This window comes from Homo sapiens, chromosome 8 (assembly GCF_000001405.40).
Source record: "Homo sapiens chromosome 8, GRCh38.p14 Primary Assembly".
NCBI lineage: Eukaryota > Metazoa > Chordata > Mammalia > Primates > Hominidae > Homo > Homo sapiens.
Window position 1 is genome coordinate 28,292,034 of NC_000008.11, and position 13,594 is coordinate 28,305,627.

At 43.6% G+C, this 13,594-nt stretch overlaps 1 pseudogene; it reads left to right on the forward strand.

Moving 5' to 3' along the window:
• Positions 7,577–8,594, forward strand: RPL5P22 (ribosomal protein L5 pseudogene 22; annotated as a pseudogene).

Sequence of the window (13,594 nt, forward strand, 5' to 3'; positions counted from 1 at the left end):
GCAGAGAGATGACTCAGGAGACAAATGATGGTTATCTTCAAATGACTGAGCAATTGCCCTTGAGAAAGCAGGAAAGACTGGCTCTGTGTTGCACCAAAAGGCCGAATCCCAACCAAGGGATGTACATCATGAGAGGAAGACCTCAACTCAGCACACAGAATAACTAACAAAGCTTTCCAACGAGGGAGTGGTTAGTACCCCTTTCCATAGAGAAACCTGAGTAGCATTTAGATCATTTTATTTATTTTTTTTTATTTATTTATTTTTTATTTTTTATTTTTTATTATACTCTAAGTTTCAGGGTACATGTGCACATTGTGCAGGTTAGTTACATATGTATACATGTGCCATGCTGGTGCGCTGCACCCACTAACGTGTCATCTAGCATTAGGTATATCTCCCAATGCTATCCCTCCCCCCTCCCCCGACCCCACCACAGTCCTCAGAGTGTGATATTCCCCTTCCTGTGTCCATGTGATCTCATTGTTCAATTCCCACCTATGAGTGAGAATATGCGGTGTTTGGTTTTTTGTTCTTGCGATAGTTTACTGAGAATGATGGTTTCCAATTTCATCCATGTCCCTACAAAGGACATGAACTCATCATTTTTTATGGCTGCATAGTATTCCATGGTGTATATGTGCCACATTTTCTTAATCCAGTCTATCATTGTTGGACATTTGGGTTGGTTCCAAGTCTTTGCTATTGTGAATAGTGCCGCAATAAACATACGTGTGCATTTAGATCATTTTAACAGCATCCCAGGTATACACATTACACTGACGCAACTGGGTGCAGCCCATGCTTTGAGTAGTAAGTCTCTACTCTAGACCATCCATCAGGTATCCCTCATTGAAGAGGTTAAATAGAAGATCTCTACAGCTTCTTCCAGATGCAAGTTCTGAGATTATATAAAAGTAGTTTAGATCAGCCTGGGCAACACAGAAAGACCCCGCCTCTAAATAATTTTTTTTTTTAATTAGCTGGGCATGGTGGCACATGCCTATAGTCCAAGCTACTTGGGAGGCTGAGGTGGGAGGATCCCTGGAGCCCAGGAATTCAAGGCTGCAGTGACCTATAATCGTGCTACTGTGCTCCAGCTTGGGCAACAAAGCAAGACCTCATTTCTAAAAAAAAAAAAAAAAAAAAAAAGAGTAGTTCATATGGGTGATCATCATTAAATGTTTAGTCAGGAGCTAGAGGGTGCCCTCTGCAGCCACTCTCTTTTAATCCTCCCAACAGCTCTTCAAGTTGGCCTAGAAGGAGCATTTCTGCCCCATTGGCCAGGTCTTTTCACACTGCCTTTTTCTATAGTGGCAGTGCTTGCAAGCTGCCTCTGGCGTGATGTCCCAAAGGCAGAGTCTGAGACAGTTACATATATCGTTTTGGGAAAAGGTATGGGTGACTAAGTTAGGTGACCAATTTAGTCAATCATTGTGGCTGTAGCAACCAATTCAATAATATGTTGAGAAGAGGCCAAGTCTATCTGTTTTGGAAAGAAATCTACATGCCCTCATCATCCCTAGCTTCAAGCAGAACTTCCTCTTCTCTCTATATTTGCGTTAACGCTGTATCATATACACAATGTGGCACCCACTAGCTATGTGGCCTTGGGCCAGTTACTTACCTTCTGTCCATTCCTCACACTCTCCAGGGAGTTAGACAAGTATTTCTGAGAACACTTAGATCTAATATTATAGATTATAAGTGGGGGTAAAGTGACATTTTTAAAAACGTCTAACAATCATATAACAAGCCAAGTATCATCTAAATTTTGCATCTCAAGCTTTCAACAAAAGTCCTCATTGTAGAGTCTTAATAATGGAAAAAGAGTAAGGCTGGTGGGAGCAGAGGACAGCAAAAAGAGAAGGCAGATGAGCTACAAGTCTGCCTTTCTTCATGGTCCAGGACACATAGTCCTCCTGCACAAATAACTCACAATCATCCTGTGCCCAGCTATCACCAGACCTTCGGCTGAGAGAAAATTGCAAGTTAGCTCACTGCAACCTTGGCATTATTAGTACTGCACATAGTTTTCTCCAACACAAGCACCATCCTATAAAACCCCCTTGCAGTCAGCTCCTCTCTTGCTGACTTGCCCATTGCTTTCTTGCAACAAATTTTATTACTTTCTCTAATAAATCTGCTTTTCTTTACCTTCAGCTGTTTACCACCTGCACGATACCAGCCCCAGATAGTCATCACCCATGACACTCATTCACCAGCAGTTTGATTTTTTTATCTTTTTTTGTTTTAGACGGAGTCTTGCTCTGTCACCAGGCTGGAGTGCAGTGGAGTGATCTTGTCTCGCTGCAACCTCTGCCTCCTGGGTTCAAGCAATTCTCCTGCTTCAGCCTCCTGAGTAGTTGGGATTACAGGCATGCACCACCACGCCCAGCTAATTTTTGTGTTTTTAGTAGAGATGGGGTCTCACCATATTGGTCAGGCTGGTCTGGAACTCCTGACCTCGTGATCCGCCTGCCTCGGCCTCCCAAAGTACTGGGATTACAGGTGTGAGCCAGCAGGCCCAGCTGATTTTTTTATCTTTAACATCCCCTGAGAAGTAGTCATTGACCTCCATTTCTCACATCTGCAAAATGGGGCCATGGGACTTTTCCCAAGATTCAGCCCTCCTGACCTTAATGGGTTACCACACTGAGTTTTAGGACAGAGAAAATGGAACTTGTGTGATCACAGCTTCTGCCGCAAGAAAAGGACGATGAGATTACCTGTTATTACTATCTTTCAGAGGAAGATTTGGAAGCAGAATAGCATTGGCTCTCCAGAAAATCAAAATCAGGACCTTTGGTCCAAGATCACCAAGAGGAGTAGCACGTAGGAAGCCAAAAATAAATGGTATCTAAGTTTCAGGGGAGAGAGTAGTAAGACAAGGGGTAGAACAACTTGTCTCTGAATGCCAAGGTACAGATCAATCAGACACCTTCCCTGCCCTTCAATTACCAGCAGATCATGGAGAGGATAGAAAAAAACAATGATCAAAACAAGCTGAGTTACATGTAGTCATAGTGCTATGGCAGCTGAGAAGAGGAAAAGACAGATTCTGCTCAGAGAAATCTTGGGAAACTTTATGAACCAAGCTACATTTGGACTGGGCCTTAGAGATGGTAGAGTTCTATAGATGAGGTCACAGGGGAAGGAGGAAAAAAGGAGATTCGAATCCAGAGGACAAGTGATAAAGACGAAAACAGTGGCGAAATTAAAACTGTGACTTTCTATTAGATTGAAGGGAGGGGGGATCCTGGAGACGAGAACGGGAAAGCAAGCTGAGGGTTTAGTGCTTGCTGAGGAGTCTCAGTCTCACCTGGAGGCAATGGGTGACTCGGAGGGTGTGTGAGCAGGACGAGGGGCTCCTAGCTGTGTTTTGATAAGATGACTCTGGAAGCAGTGAAGATGCTGTAATCAGAAGAGGAGATTGAGCCAAGAAGTCTTGGTAAGCTCTTTATAACAGTCCAAGTTTACAACATTAGGGGCCCAACTAGGGACAGGGCAGTGACATTGGAAATGGAGCATTGTGGAGCTGTTTGGGATATTACCAGGGTCAGAGGTCCAGGTTCCTGGAAGGGATTGATGACATTAAGCAAGAAATGTACAGCACTTTGACTTTGACATTTCCACAACACCTTCCCCTCCCTTTCCTCATACCTGGGCTACAGCTGTCTCCCTAGGAGGGCTGCTCCCCTACCATGCAGTCTCTTCCCCACTCTGATCCATTCTCCAAAGCTTCCAAATGCTCCAAATGCATTTCCCCACTAGCTCAAGAACCTGTAGTGATTCCAGTCCAACTCATCGGATTCCTGGCAGAAAACGGAGAGGAAGCACTTCTGATCACTAACGGTCATTCCGCTGCATCTGCCTTCCAACCCCATTTGGGCCCTGGTGGCAGCCAAGCTCTGTCTCCCAGCATATGTGAGTCCTGTGCTGGTGTTTCCTTATGGTGCCCTACTCCCCTCCATTCCTCAAGATCCCTTGCTTTCCTCAAAACCCACCTTGGAAGTCGTCTCTAGAAAACTCTGCCCCTTCAGGGGCTGCCTCAACTGTAGCCCACAAATGACCATTGCCAACTGGACAAGCCCCCCAACTTTGGCTCCCTGTCCCCTCCTCCCCACTGAAGACTAGCAGCACAGAGTTGGCCCTGCTGCCCAAAGGGGCTGCATCTGGGCCCCCCGACCTGGCAGAAATGATGGCTCCCTGAATCTCTCTCCAGCAGATGACAAGAAGACAGAACTCTGCGTCTGCGAGCTGCAGAGACTCCTGCCTCCCCAAGTCCCTGGCTTTCACTCTATGTCCCACCCATTCTGCAAGGAGTCAGGGGGTGGAATGTTCTAAGACGCCAACCTGTCACTGAAGCTCCCACTCCACTCTGCTGACACCTGACTGCCCAGAGGACTCACGGGGCCGGGGCAACCTGCCATCCCTGGTGTCAGCAATCTACCAAAGAAGTGAAGCCTCCGAGATTTCTTTGACCAGGAGAGAAGAAGGTATTCAGCAATGCAGAGAAGATAAATACTGCAGATTAGATAACTGGACAACACGCTTGAAATTATTCAGTGGCACAGCCATCTTTTAATTACCTTGGAACGGGAGATAAGAGTAATGGAAAGCTACAGATAATTCATTAGTTTCTAAAAACCTTGCACATCCAATGTGCCATTTGAAGTCGATGCTTACAAGACACAGAAGAGGCTGGTGAAGGGTTTTCAGGAAGGAAGTAAAATCCAAACAACAGGAAAAACACAATTTGTTCTTCATAAATGCTAAGTGCGGCACAATGCAGTTATTAGCCACAACTCTACACACTCTTTCCCATTAATGGATAAGTTAAATCTTTTCCAAGTGTGACAAGTGGCATCCAATCACTCCCTAGGGATTTTCTGTTCTTTAGCCACTTACCAGTCACAATAGATTTTTCTGCAGTTCCATTTAAAACGTTATTCTCTGGGGGGTCTTCTAGTTTACTTTGAATAGCCTGTAACAAATATTCCCAACCAAGAGCAGATAGGCTTGCTCCAACCCACTCTAACAGAGAGAGAAGTCTGCCCAGCCCAGGTATTAAATGACTTCATGACTACAAAACAGCAGGGTGGAGCCAGGCCAGCTCCAAAGCTAATTCAGCTCTCTCACTTTTACAGATGAGGACAGTGAGTTCCAGGAAGGGAAAAGGACATGTCCAAGGTCACGCGAACTAACAAGTAATAGAATCTACACCAGATCTGGATCCCTTAAGTTCTGAGACCATATCTAATTTTAAATAGACATTTTCTTTCTATTTTCTGGTTCTTTCTACAGCCTGAGGGGGCATGAGATGCTCCACCCAGGTCCCCCTTGAAGGAAAGCCTTAGGGCCTGGCTGTGGGAAGCATGGTCAGCACAAAGCTGCTAGCTCTCAGTTCCTTCGGGATCTGCCTCGACTAGAGATGTCTGTGCCACTGGAGGCTGCATCCTTCCTGGGAAACCCAGCACCCAGTGACAGAGGTGGGTGGGGTACAAAGGCCCAGCCATTTCTGCCCAGCAAGGGCTACACCGAGGCCTAATATTCACTCCACGGCTCCCCAATGCCACTCTCTCCAGAATGTGGTCTTCCTGCCTCCCCAACCAATGATGCAGCAGGAGAGGGAAATGAGACGCCTGGGGTGGCTGGACCATCTCCTTGCAGGCCTCTGCCCAGCAACCCCAAACTCACACCCCAGACCCCTTCAGTTCACTTGGAATGGAGCAGGTTCCAGGAGCTGGCCAAGCAATTGCATGTGAGCACATAGATGCCCTTGTGCCTTCTCCTGGGGAGCTATGGGTCACTCATATCCTTGTGGCATTGATAGCATTTGTTGGTTTTGCTTAAAGAGGTAGGAAGTTTAAAAAAATAAGGCATGATTTGGCAGAAAAGCACAAGACACTTGGGTTCCAGTTATTTGAGCATTTGTGGGTGAAGTGACCCTATGTCCAGTATGCCTGGTTCGTGCCTGTCACCCCAGGGTCATTATCAATAGCGCTGCCTTTCACCCTCAAATGCCTCAAATACCTCAATTGTGGCCACCCCATGCAAAAGCCATAGTACCTCAGAGCAAGTCTATCTGGCTGTCTATCCTCCTCTCCGGTCTTGGATATTTTGAGAGAGAGAGGAAGATGGTGTCCTGGGTGGTAAGTGGAAAGAATGCCCTTCCAGGACAGACTTGGGTTTGAATGACCTCTGGACCAGGCACTAGCTCAGAGACTTTGGATGAGTTCCCAGCCTCTTACTGCCTTATCTGAGAAATGGAAGTAATTAAACACACCTAGCCTTTCATGCATGGTTGTTGAGAACACCGAGTCAAATACTTGTTACAAAGTTTCTCTGGAAACTGTGAAGCCCTATTCAGATGTAAGTATGGACAAAATGCCTAGCAATAAGTATTTGCTAAATGATTGAATGCTTGACTCATTGAATGGGTGGAATGGGGGGAATGTTAGGTATAATTATTATCAATGTGTGACAATGATAAAACAACAACCAGGTTTTTTTTTTTTTCAAGTTGATGGGTCACCCCTCGAGAGGTAAAGTCTATTCCCCTAGTCTTGAATATGGGCTGGACTTAGGGACACATTTCTAAGGAAGACAACAGAAAACAGCACAAGTGACACTGCATGTGTTCCAAGGCTAGACTATGAAAGGTACTTTAGCCTGGCTCTCTCTTGGGACGCTTGCTCTTCAATCCCTGCTGCCATGTTGTGAAGAAACCCAGGCAACAATGGAGAGGCTGAGTATATTCATTCTAGTCCTCAGCCCCAGTGGAGGTCCTGGCAAACAGACAGCATCAACAGACAGCCTTTGAGATGACTGCACCTCCCATCAATGTCTTATTGCATCCTCACAAGAGACCCCCAGTGAGAACCACCTCCTGAGCTCAGTCAGCAATAAATGATTGTTTTGTGTTTAAAAAAAAAAGTCAATGGGAATGTGTTCTGAAAGCAAGATGCATCTCTTGGAGCAAACTGCCTCCCAAGGATATGAGAAGGGCCAAGCTAGGTATGACTCTCTGCCTCTGCAGCTGGAAATGTACAGCCCTGACAGCAGCCTCTGGGGTGCGCCACCCAAAGCATTCCATTTTCTCTAATAGCCAATTATAACTGTCATCTCTGCAAGTATCTTAATCTTTGAAATTACTTTTGCAGGCACTACCACCTCTTGGGATAATGGTTCCATAAGCTTCTTCCCTATGAAACTCCTCCAGAATTTGAAAAATAAATGCATGTCCACTTTATCCACTGCTCTTACCATTTTAGAGATTACGATCATGTTCACTCTTCAACTTCCCCTTCCCAGACTGAGTCGTCTGGTATTTTTCGTCACAATCCCTAATGGCAAGCCAGTGTGGTACCTAAAACATTCAAGACCTGGGGAGTTAGTGTAAACTTCCAATGAAACAGAGTTGAACTAAATAGCTTATTTGTTAATAGGTATATAGTTTTAATAGGCTTTGAAAACAGCATGTGGGTTTTAATTCATGTTAATGAATATAGTCCCTACTGAAGTACTTGAAAATAAATACACAATGATCTGAATTCAATGTTAAGATTCTTGCCCTTTTTGCCCCCTAGCGCTGCTGGGCCTGCAGGTCTCTGTTGAGCCATGGATTTGGGCCTCTGTTCCGCAGGATGGGGTTTGTTAAAGTTGTTAAGAACAAGGGCTACTTTAAGAGATAGCAAGTGAAATTTAGAAGATGCCAAGAGGGTAAAATTGATTACTATTCTCGGAAATGCTTGGTGATACAGGATAAAAATAAATACAGCACACCCAAATACAGGATGATAGTTCATGTAACAAACAGAGATATCATTTATCAGATTGCTTATGCCCGTATAGAGGGGGAAATTATAGTCTGCGCGGCATATGCACACGAACTGCCAAAATATGATGTGAAGGTTGGCCTAACAAATTATGCTGCAGCATATTGTACTGGCCTGCTGCTGGCCTGCAGTCTTCTCAATAGGTTTGGCATGGACAACATCTATGACGGCCAAATGGAGGTGACTGGTGATGAATACAATGTGGAAAACATTGATGGTCAGCCAGGTGCCTTTACCTGCTATTTGGATGCAGGCCTTGCCAGAACTATCACTGGCAATAAAGTTTTTGGCACACTGAAGGGAACTGTGGATAGAAGCTTGTCTATCCCTCACAGTACCAAACGATTCCCTGGTTATGATTCTGAAAGCAATGCAGAAGTACACCAGAAGCGCATCATGGGCCAGAATGTTGCAGATTACATGCGCTACTTAATGGAACAAGATGAAGATGCTTACAAGAAACAGTTCTCTCAATACATAAAAAAAACAGCATAACTCTAGACACGATGGAGGAGACGTATAAGAAAGCTCATGCTGCTATACGAGAGAATCCAGTCTATGAAAAGAGGCCCAAGAAAGAAGTTAAAAAGAAGAGGTGGAACCATCCCAAAATGTCCCTCACTCAGAAGAAAGATCAGGTAGCTCAAAAGAAGGCAAGCTTCCTCAGTTAGGAGCAGGCTGCTGAGAGCTAAACCAAACAATTTTCTATGAGGATTTTTCAAATAAAGACAATAAACTTATGGACAACAACTAAAAAAAAAGATTCTTATGTACGGTTTTTATTACATGTTAAAAGCAATATTTTCTCCTTGGGAATAAAGCTCCACAATCCTAGTAAAAACAAAACAAAACAAACAGCCAAGAAAATGTTTGCATGCCTCATGCCACCCTGCTCAAAACCCTCCAGACTCACTGCTTCTTGCCTGCAGAATAGCGTCCACGTGGCTCAAATTGATGTGCGGCCATCATTGGTCCTCCAACCTGATGCCTCTCTCCCCAACAAAGCATCAGCAGTGGTGAATCTGATTTACTCACTGACTCCCACACCTGTATTGCCTCTCCCTGTTGTGCTTGTTTGCCAATGCTGCCTCCAATAGCGGAAGTGCCTGTCTCTCCTCACCCATGGTTCCCAATTCCCTATTATGTTTCTTTTTGTAAGCTCTAACGCTTTATAAAGATTGATGTTCTATGCCTTTTCTTCTTAGAGGTCTTCCAAAGAACAAAGAGAGAATTTACATATTTTTAATTAAATAAAACGTATTTTATTTTGCAATTACCATATGGGTCTATTGTGATCCTTTTTATCTAAGGGCAATGTGTATAAGAGGCATTACAGGATCTAGCTGATCTTATTTTTCTTATATCTTGAGGTACTTTATTATTTTATTATCCTGGGAATTATTGTTATTCAATTATTATTATCCTGACAATTCCATCATTCTTCCATTTAAAAATTATTTTCATCTTTTTTGGCATGGTTGGGAACAACTGATAAGTAACCCAACTGTTAAGTAACAATTGCTCCCAACCATGCCAAGAATGATGAAAATAATTTTTTTTTTTTTGAGACGGAGTCTTACTCTGTCATCCAGGCTGAAGTGCAGTGGCATGATCTAGGCTCACTGCAACCTCCGCCTCCCAGGTTCAAGGAATTTTTCCTGCCTCAGCCTCCCAGGTAGCTGGGACTATAGGCGTGTGCCACCATGCCTGGCTAATTTTTTGTATTTTTGTATTTTTTTTTTTTTTTTTTTTTAGTAGAGAAGGGATGGTCTCAACCTCCTGACCTTGTGATCTGCCCACCTTGGCCTCCCAAAATGCTGGGATTACTGGCATGAGCCACCACGCTCAGCCTGAAAACAATTTTTAAATTGACGAATGATGGAATTGCCTAGAAGGATGGTGCAATAGTGAAGCAAATCATCATCCTTCCTTTTTTTTAAAAAAAAAATTCAAATTGTTTTTTAAATTTTTTGTGAGTACCTAATATTTATGAGGCACATGAGATGTTTTGATACAGGCATGCAATGTGAAATAAGCACGTCATGAAGAATGGGTTATCCATCCACTCAAGCATTTATCCTTTGAGTTACAAATAATCCAATTACATTCTTTATTTTCAAATATACAATGAAGTCACTATTGACTATAGTCACCCTATTATGCTATCAAATAATAGGTCTTATTCATTCTTTCTAACTTTTTTGTATCCATGAACCATCCCCACCTCCCTCCCAATTACCCTTCCCAGCCTCTGGTAAACATCCTTCTACTCTCCATGTCCATGAGTTCAATTGATTTGATTTTTAGGTCCCACAGATAAGTAAGAACATTTGAAGTTTGTCTTTCTGTGCCTGGCTTATTTCACTTAACATAATGATTTCCAATTCCATCCATGTTGTTGCAAATGACTGGCTCTCATTCTTTTGATGGCTGAATAGCACTCCATTGTGCACGTGTATCACATTTTCGTTATACATTCATCTGTTGATGGACACAGGTTGCTTCCAAATCTTAGCTACCGTAAATGGTACTGCAAAAAACATAGGAGTGAGGACACCTCTTTGATATATTGAGTTCCTATATTTTGGGTTTATACCCAGCAGTGGGATTGCTGGATTATCTGGTAACTCAATTTTTAGTTTTTTTGAGGAATCTCCGAACTGTTCCTTTCATTTTCTTATTACCCAAAGAATGACACCGTCTCTCAAGAAAGTACAAAAGAAGGCAGGAGACACCATCTTTGTAGGCTGCTTTTTGCTTTCATTGAACACACTTGACAAATCTGAATTTTTCATTTTCCACCCATAAAGGCAAAGAAAATAAAATGGACAGAAAAAGACACTCCAAATTATTAGATGAACCAGAAAATGAAATGAAAAGAGACAGAGAGTGGCACTGTAGACACGAATAATGATGGTAAAATATATCCTTAAAGTGAAATCTCAGGCTATTAGGCCTCAGATGACACCATCCTAAGTAAGTGTCCTCAAACTTAAGAATCAATGCATGAACAATGTCTTTTTTTTTCTTTTTTTTTTTTTTGAGATGGAGTCTGGCTCTGTTGCCCAGGCTGGAGTGCAGTGGTGCAATCTCGGCTCACTGCAAGCTGCACCTCCCAGGTTCACGCCATTCTCCTGCCTCAGCCTCCCAAGTAGCTGGGACTACAGGTGCCCGCCACCACGCCCGGCTAATTTTTCATATTTTTAGTAGAGACGGGGTTTCACCGTGTTAGCCAGGATAGTCTCGATCTCCTGACCTCGTGATCCGCCCACCTCAGCCTCCCATAGTGCTAGGATTACAGGTGTGAGCCACCATGCCCAGCCAAAAAATGTCTTCTTAAGAACAAAAATGAAATACAGCATTTTTGCCCTGTTAATCAACAGAAAGGATTTCATCATGCAAAAATTTGTGGCAAGAACCTGGACCATCTCCTTTTGTTAAGAAGACATGTGTGCTGGGTGCAGTGGCTCATATCTGTAATCCCAGCACTTTGGAAGGCCGACGCGGGTGGATCACCTGATGTCAGGAGTTCGAGACCAGCCTGACCAACATGGTGAAACCATCTGTACTAAAAATACAAAAAAAAAAAAAAAATTAGCCAGGCGTTGTAGCACATGTCTGTATTCCCAGCTACTTGGGAAGCTGAGGCAGGAGAATCACTTGAACCCGGGAGGTGGAGGTTGCAGTGAGCTGAGATTGCACCATTGCACTCCAGCCTGGGCAACAAGAGTGAAACTCTGTCTCAAAAAAAAGGGCACATGACTGCAGTGTTTCATTTTTAATTATGTTTGTGCCTCAAAATGTACTTGATACAAAGAGGTCGGCTACGTTTGCATTCTCATGAAAATTTTTAGTAAAGTTGTTTTTCACTATACTTTTATTCTCACTTCTGTAAAGTATTCACAGGATGACTTATGATATGAAAGTAAATAAATAATCCATTGGACATGGATGGTAAATGGTGAAGACCATTTGTCCTGGCGTCCTGAGAACTGACGTCCAGGCAGAGTCCTGTCTACCTTCTAAAATTTTCTCTTGTTGTTCCAGTCCACCCAGAACTTTCTCTTCTCTGAATTATTATTCTAAGAACTTCCACCAAAACAGTTTGGAGGTTAATAGAGGTTAATACTTGCTTGGTTTCTTATCTAACCCAAATCATAAAGCTCTTTGAGGCAAAGACATTCATCCAACAAACACTCAAGTGCTGACAGGGACTGTGGCTGGCCATGGAGACACAATAGTAGGCAAATTAGACCTCATCCCTGCCTTCATGGCATTTACCCAGGACCTTGGCTGTGCCAGTGCCAGAACTAGATCAAAGGAGAGTGCAGTGGAAAGGCTCAGAGCTTTAGTGTAGACAGACCTGGGTTTGAATTCTGTCATCACCACTTCCCATCTGTGGGACCTTGGGAAAATGTCTTCACCTCTCTGAACTATGTCCTATTTTATCTGAGAAGTCGAGATCCTATTTCCTTTCTTGAAAAGATGAGTATGAATTTGCTAGGACTGCCATAGCAGAATGCTACAGACTGGGTGGCTTAAACAACTGATATTTATTTTCTCACCATTCAGGAGGCAGGAAGTCCAAGATCAAGGTGGCAGCAGGTTTGGTTGCTCCTGTGGTCTCTCTCTCGGGCTTGCAGACAGCCACCTTCTTGCTGTGTCCTCATGGCCTGCCCTCTGTGTGTGTGTCTCTTTCTGTTCTTGTTTTATGCCACCAGTCATAATGGACTAGGGTGTACCTATACGACTGTTTTTTACCTTAATTGCCTCTTCAAAGGCCCTAACTCCAAACACAGTCACACTAGGGGTTAGGGCTTCAACATATGAATTTAAGGGAGACATAGTTCAGTCCATAACAGAGTGTTATGAAGATTAATACATATACTTTTTTTTAAGAGACAGTCTCACTCTGTTGCCTGGGCTGGAGTGTAATAGTGCAATCATATCTCACTGCAGCCTCAACCTCCTGGTCTCAAGCAATCCTCCCACCTCAGCCTACCAAGTAGCTTAGAGACTACAGGCACACATCACCACACTTGACTACTTTTCTCATTTTTTGTAGAGACAGGGATCTCGCTTTGTTGCCCAGGCTGGTTTCAAACTCCTGGCCTCAAGTGATTCTCCCACCTCAACTTCCCAAAGTGCTGGGATTATAGGCATGAGCCACAGCATCCTGCCACAGCATATGCCTTATGTACATACCTAGTACACCACAGATGCTCAATGTAAAAGTATCTAATTGTCAGTTAAGGTATCTTGACACCCAAGTCAATATCCTTTTTGGAAAACTCTTTAAACAAGTTGATATGGTTTGGCTGTGTCCCCACCCAAATCTCATCTTGAATTGTAGCTCCCATAATTCCCACGTGTTGTGTGAGAGAGCCAGTGGGAGGTAATTGAATCATAGGGGTGGGTCTTTCTCATGCTGTTCTCATGATAGTGAGTAATTCTCATGATATCTGATGGTGTTATAAAGGGGAGTTCCCCTGCACACGCTCTCTTGCCTGCCACCGTGTAAGACGAGCCTTTGCTCCTCTTTCACCTTCAGCCATGATTGTGAGGCCTCCCCGACCATGTGGAACTGTGAGTCCATTAAACCTCTTTCCTTTATAAATTAGTCAGTCAGTGGGTAATTTATAAATTACACAGTCAGTGCTTAATAAATGATGTATCCTTGGACATGCCTAGTACAGTGGTGAGCATGTAGTAAGTAATCAGGGCACATCCGGTGACTGACTCTATCAGGGAAC